At 38.1% G+C, this 14567-nt stretch overlaps 2 annotated features.

Annotated features, from left to right (window-relative positions):
• Positions 13101–13625: an enhancer, noted in NCBI's record as "NANOG-H3K27ac hESC enhancer chr4:90340641-90341165 (GRCh37/hg19 assembly coordinates)". NCBI's record gives its function as "activates a minimal SCP1, AML or CMV promoter by ChIP-STARR-seq in primed H9 embryonic stem cells {active_cell/tissue: H9 hESC(primed)}" and the evidence as "EXISTENCE:reporter gene assay evidence [ECO:0000049][PMID:30033119]".
• Positions 13626–14151: an enhancer, noted in NCBI's record as "NANOG-H3K27ac hESC enhancer chr4:90340115-90340640 (GRCh37/hg19 assembly coordinates)". NCBI's record gives its function as "activates a minimal SCP1, AML or CMV promoter by ChIP-STARR-seq in primed H9 embryonic stem cells {active_cell/tissue: H9 hESC(primed)}" and the evidence as "EXISTENCE:reporter gene assay evidence [ECO:0000049][PMID:30033119]".

Below are 14567 nucleotides of genomic sequence, written 5' to 3'. Positions count from 1 at the left end.
TAAGCAGCATGCAACCTAGATCCCTCACATGTGCAGTTCATAATAGGGTTCGCACCCCTATGAGAATCTAATGCAGCTGCTGATCTGACAGGAGGCGGAGCTGAGGCGGTAATGCTCACTGGCCTGCCGCTCACCTCCTGCTGTGCCACCTGGTTCCTAACAGGCCAGGGTCTATGGCACAGGGTTGGGGACCCCTGCTCTAGAGTACTTTCCTAAAGGGTCCATGAATAATAAATACTTAATCCTCATATGTCTAGAAGTGGCTGTATTTTATTCTCCCTTTTGAATGATAACTTCAATGGGAATAGAATGCTAGCCTGGAAGCTGTTTTTCTACTCTCCTTTGAAGATAAGAGTCAAATGTTTTCTAGCAGTATCGTTGCCTGCGAGAATTCTGTTATTATTCCTTGTAGATAACCTATTTCTTCTGTACTTGGTTTTTCAATTTTCACTTTTTTAAATTGTTCTGAAGTTTCATCCTTATGTATGCATGTAATTTGTATTTAGTTTTGCTGATTAGAAAGCATTGTGATTTTTAAGTCTGAGGAACTCTAGTCATTTTATTCTGGAAAAATTTGAGCTATCACCTTTCCTTAATTTTTTTCTCTTTTCTCCTCCTTTTACTCCAATGCTATCTTACCCATCCCTTACTCTCCCATTCCATGTTTTCGTCTCTTCATCACTCACTCTGATACATTCTGAGTAAGCATCTCAACTCTATCTTCCAATGCACTTGCATTTTCCTTTCCTATTTCTATTTTATTGCTTTAACTCACCTCTCCAATAAGTCTTCCTGAAACCTAAACCTGAATTAAGGTATTTTCTTCTGGGTCAACATAGTTCCATGTACAGGCTAAGACACATTATATGTTATATTGTATTTTATTGACCTGCTTATTTAACTACCTGCTCTATCTCTCCCATTTTAAACTTTCTGTTTTTTGAGGACAGGATATCTTTATATCCTCTGCATTTAATCCTGTCCCTGGAACATATGGGTAGTCTGTAAACAATGAAGGAGTAAAGTTTCTCACCTTCAGCCTCAATTTGCACCTATTTCTGGTGCTTTTTTTTTTAAAAAAAAAAAGTTGGAATCTCACTCTGTTGCCCAGGCTGGAGTGCAGTGGTGCGATCTCGGCTCACTGCAACTTCTGCCTCCTGAGTTCAAGCAATTCTCCTGTCTCAGCCTCCCAGGTAGCTGGGATTACAGGCATGTGCCACCATGCCCAGGTAATTTTTGTATTTTCAGTAGAGACTGGGTGTCACCATGTTGGTCAGGCTAGTCTCAAACTCCTGACCTCAGGTGATCTGCCCACCTTGGCCTCCCAAAGTGCTGAGATTACAGGCATGAGCCACTGCGCCCAGGCTTCTGGTGCTATTAATATGCTATTTTCACTCTATATTTACTTATACTCACACTTCTTCCCCAATAGATTCTGTGAAGGCAAGGACTATATTTATTTTGTGCACTACTCTTATCCCCAGTTCTTAGTACATAAGAAACACCCAAAACCTGTGCCTCCTTGATGATGTGCCTCTCATTACCTTGAGGAATACCCAAAGAGTGGCCTGTGATTTGAAGATATTTGAAATATTATTAGTATGGGGGAGTCACTGAAGGATCTCCATTTTAAAACATAATCTTCCTCTAACTCTTCCCTGACTGCTGATAGGTTAGGTCTCAGTTTTATATTTTCAGCAATTCTCTCCATACCAACCACGTGGACTGACTTTTCATCTCTCTGGGTTTGCCGACAGCAAATTAACATTCTAAATATCTGAGATATACTAATTTTAACCAAAAGGAACAAATTTCAAAAGAGGAAAAATATAGATATTATTAGGGGACATCACTTCACTTCCATGTCTAATGTTTTCTTCTATATGATGGGATGTTTATTGGAGTAACACCACTGACCTCTCCCCATGCCCTCATCACACACTTCTCTATCCCGCCCCAATTGCTCCACCTCCCCCAACTCCAAGAAACAAAACAATGAGTGGTGAATATATGCAGGTGAAAAATGCATGGACAGCACAGTTTCTTTCTCTTTCCTATTCCTGGGAGGGGAAATTCTGCTCTGCCTATTCTGCTTTTGTTGGAAGATATGTCATCGGTCAGTGCTGTTCTGTAGACACATGTATCTATTTGGGGCAGAGGTTCAGTATTAGATAACTGACTTGCTTACAGAAATAAGTATGTCTTTCTACCAGTCCTTTCAGTATTAAGGTGATATTAATATTTTGTGCTCTGCCTGCTGAAACTTAGTTTTGTCTATAAATTGGTTTAAACCTCGGCCAGGCAGGAAGGAGCTATTTATTGGTGCTTTCTCAAAGACACCAGCACATTTCAGCAGAAGGTAGTAGTTCATGTTATGGTGACCCCATGCACTCTTTTACGTCACGGACATAAAATAGCAATGGATCCTGTTTTTTTTTTTTCTTTCTTTGTTGGAGAAAGGGTCTTCCTCTGTTGCCCAGGCTGGAGTCCAATGGTATGATCATGGCTCCCTACAGCCTCAACCTCCTAGGCTCAAGTGATCCTCCCACTTCCAGAATACCCTCCAGAGTAGCTGGGACTACAGGCACGTGCCACAATGCCTGGCTATTTTTCTTTTTTTGTAGAGACAGAGGTCTCACTATGTTGCCCAGGCTGGTCTTGAACTCCTGGACTCAAGCGATCTGTACACCTTGGCCTCCCAAAGTGCTGGGATTACAGACATGAGCTACCAAACCTGGCCTAATTCACTTATTAAACAAATATCTTTTGAGCATCTATATTGTGCTAGACCCTGGCAGTATGTCATTGGACAAAATGGTCAAAATCTCTGTCATCATGAAACTCACAATCTAGTAGAGGTGGAAGGAGGAGATAGAAAAAAAAATAAGTGCTACAGGGAGGACAAAAAAAGAGCAGGTTAAAGGAACTGGGAGTGCCCAGTGGGGAAGTAGGATGAGGTAGAGAGCTAAAGACAGCCTCAATGAGAATATGACATTTGAACATTTGAGGAAAGAGTTGAAAGAAATGTTAGAGTGGGCCAAGCAGACATCTGGAGGAAGAAAATTCCAGACAAGGAAACAGCTCCGAGGCAGGAAGAATGAGGAGGCCGGTGGGCTAGTGAAGAGGGAATGGAGGGCAAGAGAGGGGCAGTTCCTGGGATAACAAGTCAAAGAGGTGATGGGGAGAGGAAAACAGGCCATGTAGAGCAGTGAGGCTGCAGTAACGGTTCTAGCTGCCATTCAGAGTGATAAGGGCTCAAGCATTTACACAGAGGAGCAATGATATCTCACTTATGTTTTCAAAGAATTATTGTTTCTGCTGTGTTGACAATGAACTTAGAAGGAGTGAGTTTAGAAGCAGGAAAACCAGTTAGAAGACTACGGCAACAATCCAAGTGAGATGTGATGGTGTCCTGGAAGATGGTGACAGAAATGGTAAAAAGTTGTCGAATTCTGGATACACTTTGCAGGTCAAGCCAACAAAAATTCCTGATGAGTTGGCTGTTGGATATAACAGTTGTGCTACGAATAATTTCCAGGGTAATTGCCTCTTAGGAAATACTGAAGAAACCTAGTAAAGTCCATCAGTGACTGGTTCTGTGGGGGGCCATATTTCAATAACTAAAAATAGATCTTTTACAATTTAAGCTACTACCACTGTGACAAGGAGGTAAAGTCTAGTCCAGATAGATAACTTGCTTTGACATATTATTTGATGGGGAAATTAAATTAAAATCCTTGTTCTCTAGGTATCAATGAACACTTTTTAGAACACATCATGTGTTTGAATGTATAAAACATTTCTTTAATATGAAAATATTTTGTTAAATCAATATCCAGCTTCATATCCACAATAACTGCTAAAAGAATACCTTCTATGTGCCACATTTAGAGTTTACCAAAGGGAGACAATGCCCCTGACGTTTTGTGAAATTCTGTGCAGATATATCTTGACACATTGTTCAGGAGTGCTGGAAAAAGTCATCATTCCTCTTCTTATTATAGCTTTTAATATAAAAGGTCAAATGAGGATCCATCCTCTAAATAGGAACATGTTAAAGAATTGTTTCTTTAATTTACAGGCCATTTAAGTGACACTTGATGAACTCAACTATGAATGATGATTCTGAAAAGATTGTGAAATAAAATCTTACAGACGTTTCTTAAAAGACTACCAACTTGCTCATACTCTACTATCTAACGTAAGGTCTTAAACCTGCCAATTTACCAAGATAAGTAATAAAATGTTTGATTAATCATCCATCTATATTTTTCTTTTCTTTTCTTTTTTGAGACAGTGTTTCACTGTGTTGCCCAGGCTGGAGTGCAGTGATGCCATCTCAGCTCACTGCAACCTCGGTCCCCCAGGTTCAAGCAATCCTCCTGCCTCAGTCCCCCAAGTAGCTGAGACTACAAGTATGTGCCACCACCCCCAGCTAATTTTTGTATTTTCGTAGAAATGGAGTTTCACAATGTTGCCCAGGCAGATCTCAAACTCCTGGGCTCAAGTGATCTGCCCACCTTGGCCTCCCAAAGTGTTGGGATTACAGCTTGAACCACTGTGCCTGGCCCATCTACGTTTTTCTTAATTATTATTCAAATGGAACAAGGTAAGTCAAAAAGCAACATTGTCCTTATAGTAGTGTCAAAAACATTTGTTGGGTACAGAAGAATAATGCTACTTTTTATTTGCTATTTTCATCAAGTTATCAACATTATAACATGGAGGAAAGTAATCTATACCCACAAATCTGTATGAATAGCATAATCTTAGCTAAAAAATTTTCTCTTCTCCTGCTACAGTTTCCCTCCGTGTCAATTCCACACATTATTTCCCTTTTCCTGCTACCATCTTGTGTTTGAAGAAACATCCAAGTATCAAGGCCTACCTCCAGATAACAAAGTGGATGCCAGCATCTCCCTAGATGAACAGGAAGAATGTCAAGGACCTGCTTTTACAACATAGAAATCTAGGAATTTTTTTCATTCAGAAATTCTATTGTTTTTTCCACTGCCATCTGTAACAAAACAAGGAAATGAGGTTTTAAAAAATCAATCTTAAATGTAAACAGATCATTTGGGCTCCACTTGGCTCCACAGTGTTTTATGTTTACTTTACAGATGTAACCTTTCCAGGCATTGGCCAATTCCGGTGTGATAAATAAAATTATCTTTAAAATTGGAGTATGACATCACCACAAACATGGTATGACGGAAACAAAGATAGAGCCAGTGCCCATTTATCCAGAATGACACAAAATGGATAATTGAATAGTCTCATTAGGTAAGAATTATTGTACATAGATTACCAATTTTCTAAAAAATAGAGTAAAAATAGAATATATTTAAATGATAATAAGTACAAGTTAACCCATCTGGTTCACAACAGTACCTATGCCACACTACTAATTATAAATATCAATTACTGTAATTTAAGAGTAGGAAGTGATGCTAGATACTGGGTTATATCAATGCTAGCTCTCTAATTTGACCTGAAAGTTGTTGATTTCAACAAATTCTTACCATATGATTACATCATTATTATTTGTCTCTTTCTCATAAAAGAAATGTACAAATGTACATTTTTATAAGTCCTATAATTTGAGCTTTTAAAATATTTTATTTCAGAGAAAGGAATGAAAATCACTATAATGATAATCCTCATAGGAATAATAGAGAAAACGGCACATGCTTTTTTCCAAATTACTTCTAATTACTAATCATATAGTACAAGTAAGAATCATGGTTTAAAGTATTCAAAAATTCTCGTTGAAGTTGCAAAAATTATTCAAGCTGTGTAGCCATGTCCTACACTTGCTTTTATATTATAGCAAGCCTAAATCTTCTAATCAAAAGAATTGAATTTGGAGCATAATACATCTGAATGCAAAATATCCTGAAAATACTTTATTCTGCCTTGGGATACTGATCAGGAAGCAGCCTACGTTTTTCAAATCCGAAGATCAATCTTGTCTTTCTTTTGTGCATATGAAAGTTTCAAATTCTGTTTTCAGTATGAAATGATGTTTTGGAATGAACCAAATGCTCTCTGATCATCTGAAATTTTACTAGTCCCCTAAGTAGCAAGAACATTCTCAGTTTCCTCCCTGTCCTTGAAGGAACTATCCCTGATATAGTTTGGATATTTGTCCCCTCCCAGTCTCATGTTTAAATGTTATCCCCAACGTTGGAGGTGGGACCTGGCGGGAGGTGTTTGGGTCATGGGGTGAATCCCTCATGAATGCGTTGGTGCCCCCTCCATAGTAATGAGTAACCATGAGATTTGATTGTTACAAAGAGCTTGGCACCTCCTCCTCTCTTTCTTGCTTCCTCACTTACCATCTGATATGCCTGCTTCCCCTTCACCTTTTGCCATGATTCTAAGTTTCCTGAGGCCCGCACTAGAACCAGATAATGATGCCATGCTTTCTGTACAACCTGCAAAACTGTGAGCCAAATAAACCTCTTTTCTTTATAAATTACCCAGTCTCGGGCATTCCTTTATAGCAAACTATACAATAGCTTTCCAGGAATGCAAGCATTTTATGTGGAGACTTGGCATAGACAAAGGAGTCCAGATAATTATGTCAGGAAGGAAAATTCTGAGACATTTGGAGACCTGAAGCATCCCACTCACCAGGCATCACAGGCATGAACTTGGGGAAGACTTTGTGGGAGTCCACAGTGGACACTGTACCTAGCCCTTCTCATCCCTTTACCAGCATTCTTCATCTTTGGATTGCCATTCTGCTAACAACTAGAACCTATGACTTTCCAGTGTCCACCCTTAAAAACTTCAGTTATCTCACTTGGAAGTGCTTGGTAGCTTAGGCCCCCCACTCGCTAACTACCATGGCTGCCTGGAGCCAATGACTGATTGGTATGAGGGTAAAAATCTTAGCTCTTTTGTCTCAAGGTAAAACAAACCCTGAAATGTAATTTATGCTCCAGAGTTCCCCCACAGGATCAGGCTGAGCCTGAAGCCACACCTGAAATCACACCATTGCTTAGCTTTTTTCCTTTTCTATTCTCTCCTTCCACTCTCTTGCTTGTTTTTCCTGGGGTTACTCCTGTATAAATCACTTGAGCCAGAATCTTTAACTAAGGCTATATCTCTGAGAGACAGCTTGATCTATGACAGAGGCAAAGCTCAGTATCCAAGAACCACAGCATCTCACTTTAGACCAATAGGATCCAAGAAAAAAGTAGACACAGAAATGGCGGATTTCAGACAGGTGACTTTTAGAATCAGGATCTAAGACTGGCAGGCAATGTCAGAGAAGTCTAATGGCCACTATGAAACAGGATTGATATTCAGGAGAAGAACCCCATTTTCCTACAAAGAGAATCCCAACATTAAAACAGAGCCTAAGAAGAGAATGGAATTTTGGCAAGTTACAAGAATCAAGATCTGAGAAGAGGAACAAATACAGTGGACTCGTTATTAAAAAGCATGGCAAACTTAATTCCTTCATGTCTTTTTTTATTTATTCTGCCTGAATATCTACTTTCAGTTTGCATATCACCTACTATTGAACCTGAAAAATTCTGTTTGCTTTTGAAAACATAAACCCAATGCTTCCTCCTCTATAAGCCTTTTTAATATCCATAACACAGGCATAAACATTCTTTCCTCTCTGCCACCTTTACAACAGATACATAACTCTATTATTGCACTTATCACTCAATACTAATATTAGCATCATTTGTATTTCGATTTTTCTCCCTTTCTAGACTGTGGCAGGGCAGCATCTGTCTTATTAATCATTTTCTCCATAGAACCTATCATGATGCCTAAAGCATCTATCATGGCATAGCTCCTAGGATAATGTAGAACTCTGATTACCTAACTTGGGTAAAGCTCAGAGGCAGATTAGAGCTGCTCAAGTACATCTTGTTGAAGCTGGGCTGGGTAATAGATTCAAAGCTGTAATTGGGGAATAAGAGGCACACCTGAGTGGGTGGAGAAATGTGGCAACTATTGTGTGGCAAAAAACCAGACTGAGTTAAAGAACTACTTATTTCTAGGTTCATGCCCTTCCTACCCCCAAATTGAGGAATTACAGAAATATCTTATTTTTTTCTGCTACACAAGAAAGATCAACTAGAAGAACTGACTTACAGTCTGTAGTCTGATCCTCCTAAGTTTCAAAATACTACCAGAATGATCTATCTAAGATTTACATGACCTTCTCATTCTAATTATTAAAATGTTTTAGTGGCCCTCTCCATCATTCATTAAAGTAATTCAATAAATATTCTTAGAGGACTTATAATTATGGCAGGCACTGACAATAAAAGAGTAAGCAAAATGAACATCATCCCTGTCTTCATGGAGGTTATAGTTTAGTACAAGATCCAATTCAAACACACACGATTGCACACACAAAGTACAAATTATCCTAAGCATTTAGAATAAAGTACAAGATGTGTAAGAGAGAAGAACAAAGGATATACACCTTATTTTATTTGTCTTTGAGACACCAGTATCTGAAAAATTACCTGGATCAAAGCCAAAGCTTGTTACAGGTACACTGAACCAAACAGAATTCTTCCTGATTTTCTACTGCAGAACATTAAAACAAATGTCAGGAAAACTGTGCAGAGGACTATTTATCTGACTCAGTTCATTTTTTTAGTTCATTGGAGGTGGGAAGTTTTCAATACTGCTCATGTGGAGATGGATGGATAGATCTTCCAGGCAAAAAGTTCCTGTGCTTCACATGACCCCAAAATTCCCACTATAAAAATATATGTGGAAAATGGATAAAACGGAGAAAGGTCATAAATGACAAGTGAAGATACACATAGAATAATAAGATAAAAATGAAAGGGAAATATAAGGCAAGAAAAAATACACAGAATTATAAAGAGGAGAAGAAAGTTGGAGTAGATATAAAGAAGAAAGTTTCTTCTATTTATCTCCATACACATTAAAATCCTTACCTAGTAGCTGGCAGTCTTTCATCTTCCTCTGCCAACAATGAATAACTAAATCGAATTTCATGTTATAAAATCATTAAACCAGACATGATTTTTATAGCTACCATAACCATGTCTTAGAATTTTTAAAACAAAGGGCCAGGTAAACATTTTAGGTTCTTTGGGTCCTGGAGTCTCTTTTGGAACCATTCAAGTCTGCTGTATATCGGGAAAGGTGCCATCAATCATACATAAACAAATGGGCATGGCTGTGTTCTAATAAATCTATATTTTAAAAAGCAAGCATCCAACCTGTGGGCTGTGGTTTGCCAAATCCTCTCTCAGAGTAAAATGTATTGTTGAATATACACATACATCTAGGCAAAGCGTCATATGTATATTTGGTTTATATAATATGTCTCTCATATGTATAAGGATGTATATTATTCTAGAGTTTGCTATGCATTAAATTATTTATAAAATATGATGCACATTTTAACTATATTGCAATCATTCTTCAATTTTTCTGAGAAAGTAACTGATTCATATATATGTATACAGCAGTCTTTCCTCTTTTATGATCCTCAAATTTTGATAATCAATTACTTTTTATCCTTATTTTTCATAATAATATGGCCTCAATGCAAATGTTATTTTGTAGAAACAGATCCAGCCACCTAATCCTTCAAATTTATTGTTTCCACCATTGGGTGCTGTGCCCAAGAGATAGGCCAGCATGAATCTTGTTTCCTGTGGAAATGCATTGCTGAGTGTTTATTTACATCCTCTTTCCAGGAGACAATGTAGACATTTCCAGAAGACTTGCTTTAATTGGCAACAGTTTATGCCTTTTCTCCAGATAGGTGATTTTAAGAGAAAACATGCACTTAATTGTCTGGAGAAGGGCACACCTGGTTCATCATTATTTTCTGCTTTATCAGTTCTCCCAATTGACAGTACAGCAGATGATTCATTTTCTTTCATTTTATCCAGCTCAGTACATAGTTGCCATGACTTACCTTGGCCCTTCTGCTGGTTTACATGGCAGAACCAAAGGCCAAGCAAAGATACTTTCATGGCAGTAAAGGTGACTGTATAGTCACAGAATGAAAGCCAAAATTGTGTACCATGGAATGGAGAAAGGGAGTTCTGTTTTCTCATTTATGGAAACAGGCACAGAAAAAAATTAATTTATTCTAAAATTGAGGTTTATGTTACGTGGCCATTAAGTCTGAGCTCACAGAAATGAAGTTGACGGCTAAATTATGGTAAAAGTCACTGTTAAATGCTGATCTTATAGCCTTTACTCACCAATCTATGTATGGAGCTATTTCTGTGTATGATGTGTTAATCTGACCCTGTCATCACTACTCATGTGGAACTCCAGATGAAGCCTGAGAAATCAATGGAGGAACTGTACACAGACAGGATTCAGGAAGCTAAGAGAAAGCAGGGCAGGGTTTAGGGCCCCTGGAAAGACAGCAGGACTTGAATTGGGCCTTTGATACTACATCATTTAAGCCTGAGTAGAATGACAGCCAACAACATTCTTGTCCTGTATTTGTAGATTTAAGGTATGTATCCTCTAACCACAAAGTGAACGAGCCCAGGCAGCCTTTTCTTCAACCATGGCAAATAACTGGTTGATCATGTTGTTTAAAAAATAGTATACAAACTAATGAAAGAGAATAGCATGGCCTTGCAATCTCTAAATCCAGCAATCAGACTAAATGCATTACCATTATTTTAGTTTTTAAGTCTCCTTTCTGCTTGCATTAACAGAAATTCAGATTTAGCAAATAAAAACATAGCACATGCAACTAAATTTGAATTTCAAATAAACAACAAGTGATGTTGCAGAAGTATGTCCCTTGCAATATTTGGGACATAGCTATGTTAAGAAATTATTTATATTTTTATCTGAAATTAAAATTTAACTAGGCATCCTGCATTTTAGCTGGTAACTCTAATTCTTAGTAAGGCATGGAAGATGGATAAGAGTAACATTTGTATGGAATATTCATTATTGAATAGGTAAATTGTCACCGAAATCTTCCATGCTATGACTTATCAGAGATCGAATGAGATCAGTTCATTAATTTTTGGTTTCATTTTTTCTTTTTTTTAAGACAGAGTCTCACTCTGTGGCTCAGGCTGGAGTGTAGTGGTACAATTACGGCTCAAGCCATCCTCCCACCTAAGCCTTCTCAGTAACTGGGACCACAGACATGCACCATTATGCCCAGCTAATTTTCTAATTTTTTTGTAGAGATGAGGTCTCACTATGTTGCCCAGCCTGATCTCAAACTCCTGGACTCAAGCAATCCTCCCACCTCAGTCTCCCAAAGTGCTGGGATTACAGGCATGAGCCACCACACTCGGCCCCTCACTGTTTCTTATACAGATACACATACTAATATGAAATAATTAGAGAAGGCCAGACTTAAATAGTAAAATATTCTTAAACAAATGATACCATTTCAGGAAAGGGATCTTATAGGACCTAGTTCAATGACCAGGCACTCAAAAATATTTATTGAAAGAGTCATGTGAGATAAATTGTCCATTGTCATGCAGCTGGCCTGGTTGTTAACTAATTCCAATTGAGGCTGATGGTGTTGTGAATCTTTCCCTTGAAAGAAATGGAGCATTATTATTATTATTATTATTATTATTATTATTATTATTAATTTTAGAGACAGAGTCTCGCTCTGTCACCCAGGCTGGGAGATGGAGAATTATTTAAAGTCCCTTCAGGGTTGGGCAGCAACATAGAATGTAAGATATAATAAAAGGTGATTAGCAAAAGCGTAAAAAACAAACTCTCTTCTTGAATTAACACAAGCTAAAAGCTAATGATAATAACAACAATAATACCTAATATCTTATTGAATGCTTGCCACTGCCCATACATTTGAGTTGCATATTTTGCCTAGCATTTTATATGCATCATCTCTTTTTGTTTTTTAATCTTAAAAGTATTCCTATGAGAAAGATATTCCTACTCTCTCCATTTTATACATAAAGAAACCAGGGGTTAACAAAATTCACACAGAAACAGGGCGGACACTTTAATCTACCTTTCACTACTATTGTAAAAGTCCACACTCTTAGGTGGTATGTACTATCAATCCACAAAAGACCAATTTAATGCATATTTTAAAAATAGGAAAGAAATTAGAATAAAATAATAAGTTACCCAAGTCTTAGAAATCAGAAGACATGTACAAGTATAGGAAACATAAATAAGCCAAATGAAGAATCTACAGTCTGTTTTCTAACCTAATTGGTGATTACTCTGACCATAAGGTGGCTAGAATATTGTGCAAGGGAAGGGAAGAATGTTCTTGCATAGTTTATAAAAGCTCTCAAAGTGAATCAAGTATGCCCTCTTGAACCACTGGTTTAGACAGACGCACCATTCTCGATACAAGTGATTCATTAGGCCACCATATGTTGGGAATATTAATTGAGACATAGAGTTGAATGTGATAGGAATAGCAGTGTTGTCATCAATTACCACTATGGAAATTGGCTTGCATTTGGGTGGCTACCAAGTACTCATTGGGCATGGTTAGAGCACATGTTAGGAAAACATCCTTTTGTAAAAATAGAACACTTTCTTGAAGTTACTAATGGCTTAGTCAGCTACACCATGAAAGTGAGATATAAAAATTTAGACATCCAAAAAGATCAAGACAGGAAAGAAATAAACATCTAGGTATAATAGCATACTTTCTTTTTTACATAGTGTTTAGTTGCTTTGAAATGAAAACTTTAGTGCCTTGCATAATTTTTAACTTTCAAATTTAGAAAGCCCACAAAATAACACCCTTCTTTTCCACTCCTGGATTCAAATTCCACCAAGATCAGAAGGATAGATATTAAAATATCAACTTTATTATAATAAATACATGGTTGGGAAGCAGGCGACTTACAACCACAACAGGCCTCTTCTGTTTTATTTCTGAATTCGACAAATGTGTCCAGCCAGTAATAGGCAACTCTGGACAATCACAGGCCTGACCCTGCAGGTTTGTAATATGTAGGAGCAGAGAAATCAGACTTTCTGCAGGAAAGCTGGATCTAAAAGTGAAAGGGAAGAGAAAGACAAAGGGGCACGCACCTTGAGGGGACAATATAAGACTGAAACGATGCATGGAATCAGAACATACTGAATAACATGTGTCCACCCTTCCTCCTTTCATCTTTCAGGAATGCTGGATTTCAAGGACAAGATTTTGTTGTGTTAAGCTGGATAGTGGATGGAAATACAAATAGGAGAACAAAGAGAGATTAAATTATTTTCTGCAAGGAAAATACTGGAAAGAATTTCTGGGAGTGCCACAAAAGAGCTAGAGCAGCCAAAAGAGGGGGAAAAAGTAGAGGGCTAAAGGGAACAGTGATAGAGACAAAAAGAAATGGTGAAGGGGTAACAGTGGCCACCTGGAGAAAAGAGAAATATATTTAAAGATGATCTTTAGGAAAATGTTCTGAGTTAAGTGTGAAGTGTACATATTTCTGTATCTCTGTGACACCTTCCACAAAATCTAAAATCCACATTATTATCCACAATGTCTTTGGAGAACATTTCCTTTTTTTTCCTTTTTCTCGGAGTCTCTTTCAGTGTGTGCGTGTGTGTGTGTGTGCGTGTGTTTTAGACACAGCAAGACCAGTGCTGAGTAACAGTGCCCTGCCCCAAGGAGACCCTGTTCAGGCGGAGGGATACAGATGTAAGATTTGGATGGTGAAACGGCAGGAGGTCAAAGGTGATATTCTTTCTACCTTTCTGCATTGGAAGAAAATAAACATCAGTGGAGACAGATGTTCCAAGCTGTAGTTAAGGGTGTAGGGGCAAAGCTATTGTTATGTAGAGATATTGAGTCACAGTAGAAGGAAAGTGAATCCTAAAAGCCTCTAACTTCATGTAAAAGGATTTAGATCATCTCTTAGAAGTTCACAGTATGATCAGGGGATTTTGAAAAGTCTGGAACAACTAACTTCTAAATTATTAGCAATTCAAAAAGAAGTCATCAGGGACTGAATTTTTAAAAGGCTTGCTGAGTAACAGTGAATATTCATCTGAAATTAGTGCAGAGTGATTTAGTGTCACTGTAGCTAAGATATCCCTCATTAGCACTAGCAACTCTAAAAAAAGAACTGAGAGAGTGATAACTTAAGATTAGCTGCAGGAAGGGATGGCAAAAAGGCTGGGGTATGGGTGAGTGCTATGGTCTGAATGTTTGTGGTCTCACAAAATTCCTGTTAAAACTTCATCCCCAGTGCAATAGTATTAAGAGGTAGGATCGTTGGGTGGTGATGAGGTCATGAGATGGAGCCCTTATGAACGAGATTAGTGCCCTTATAAAAGAGCCCAAGGGAGCTTCTTTACCCTTCCACCATGTGAGGACATAGCTAGAAGGGACCATCTATAAGGAGCAGGCCCTCGCCAGCCACTGAATCTGCTGGCATCTTGATTTTGGATTTCACAGCCTCCAGAAGTATGAGAAATAAATTTCTGTTGTTTATAAGTTACCCAGCATATGGTATTTTGTTATTAGCAGGCTGAACAGATTAAGAAGGCCTGCTCTACACTGGGGAGAAATGCACTGGAAAGGTTGTTCATTGGGTTTCTGCAGCATATCT

This window comes from Homo sapiens, chromosome 4 (genome assembly GCF_000001405.40).
Source record: "Homo sapiens chromosome 4, GRCh38.p14 Primary Assembly".
Classification (NCBI taxonomy): Eukaryota; Metazoa; Chordata; class Mammalia; order Primates; family Hominidae; genus Homo; species Homo sapiens.
This window is presented reverse-complemented; position numbering and strand designations above follow the sequence as displayed.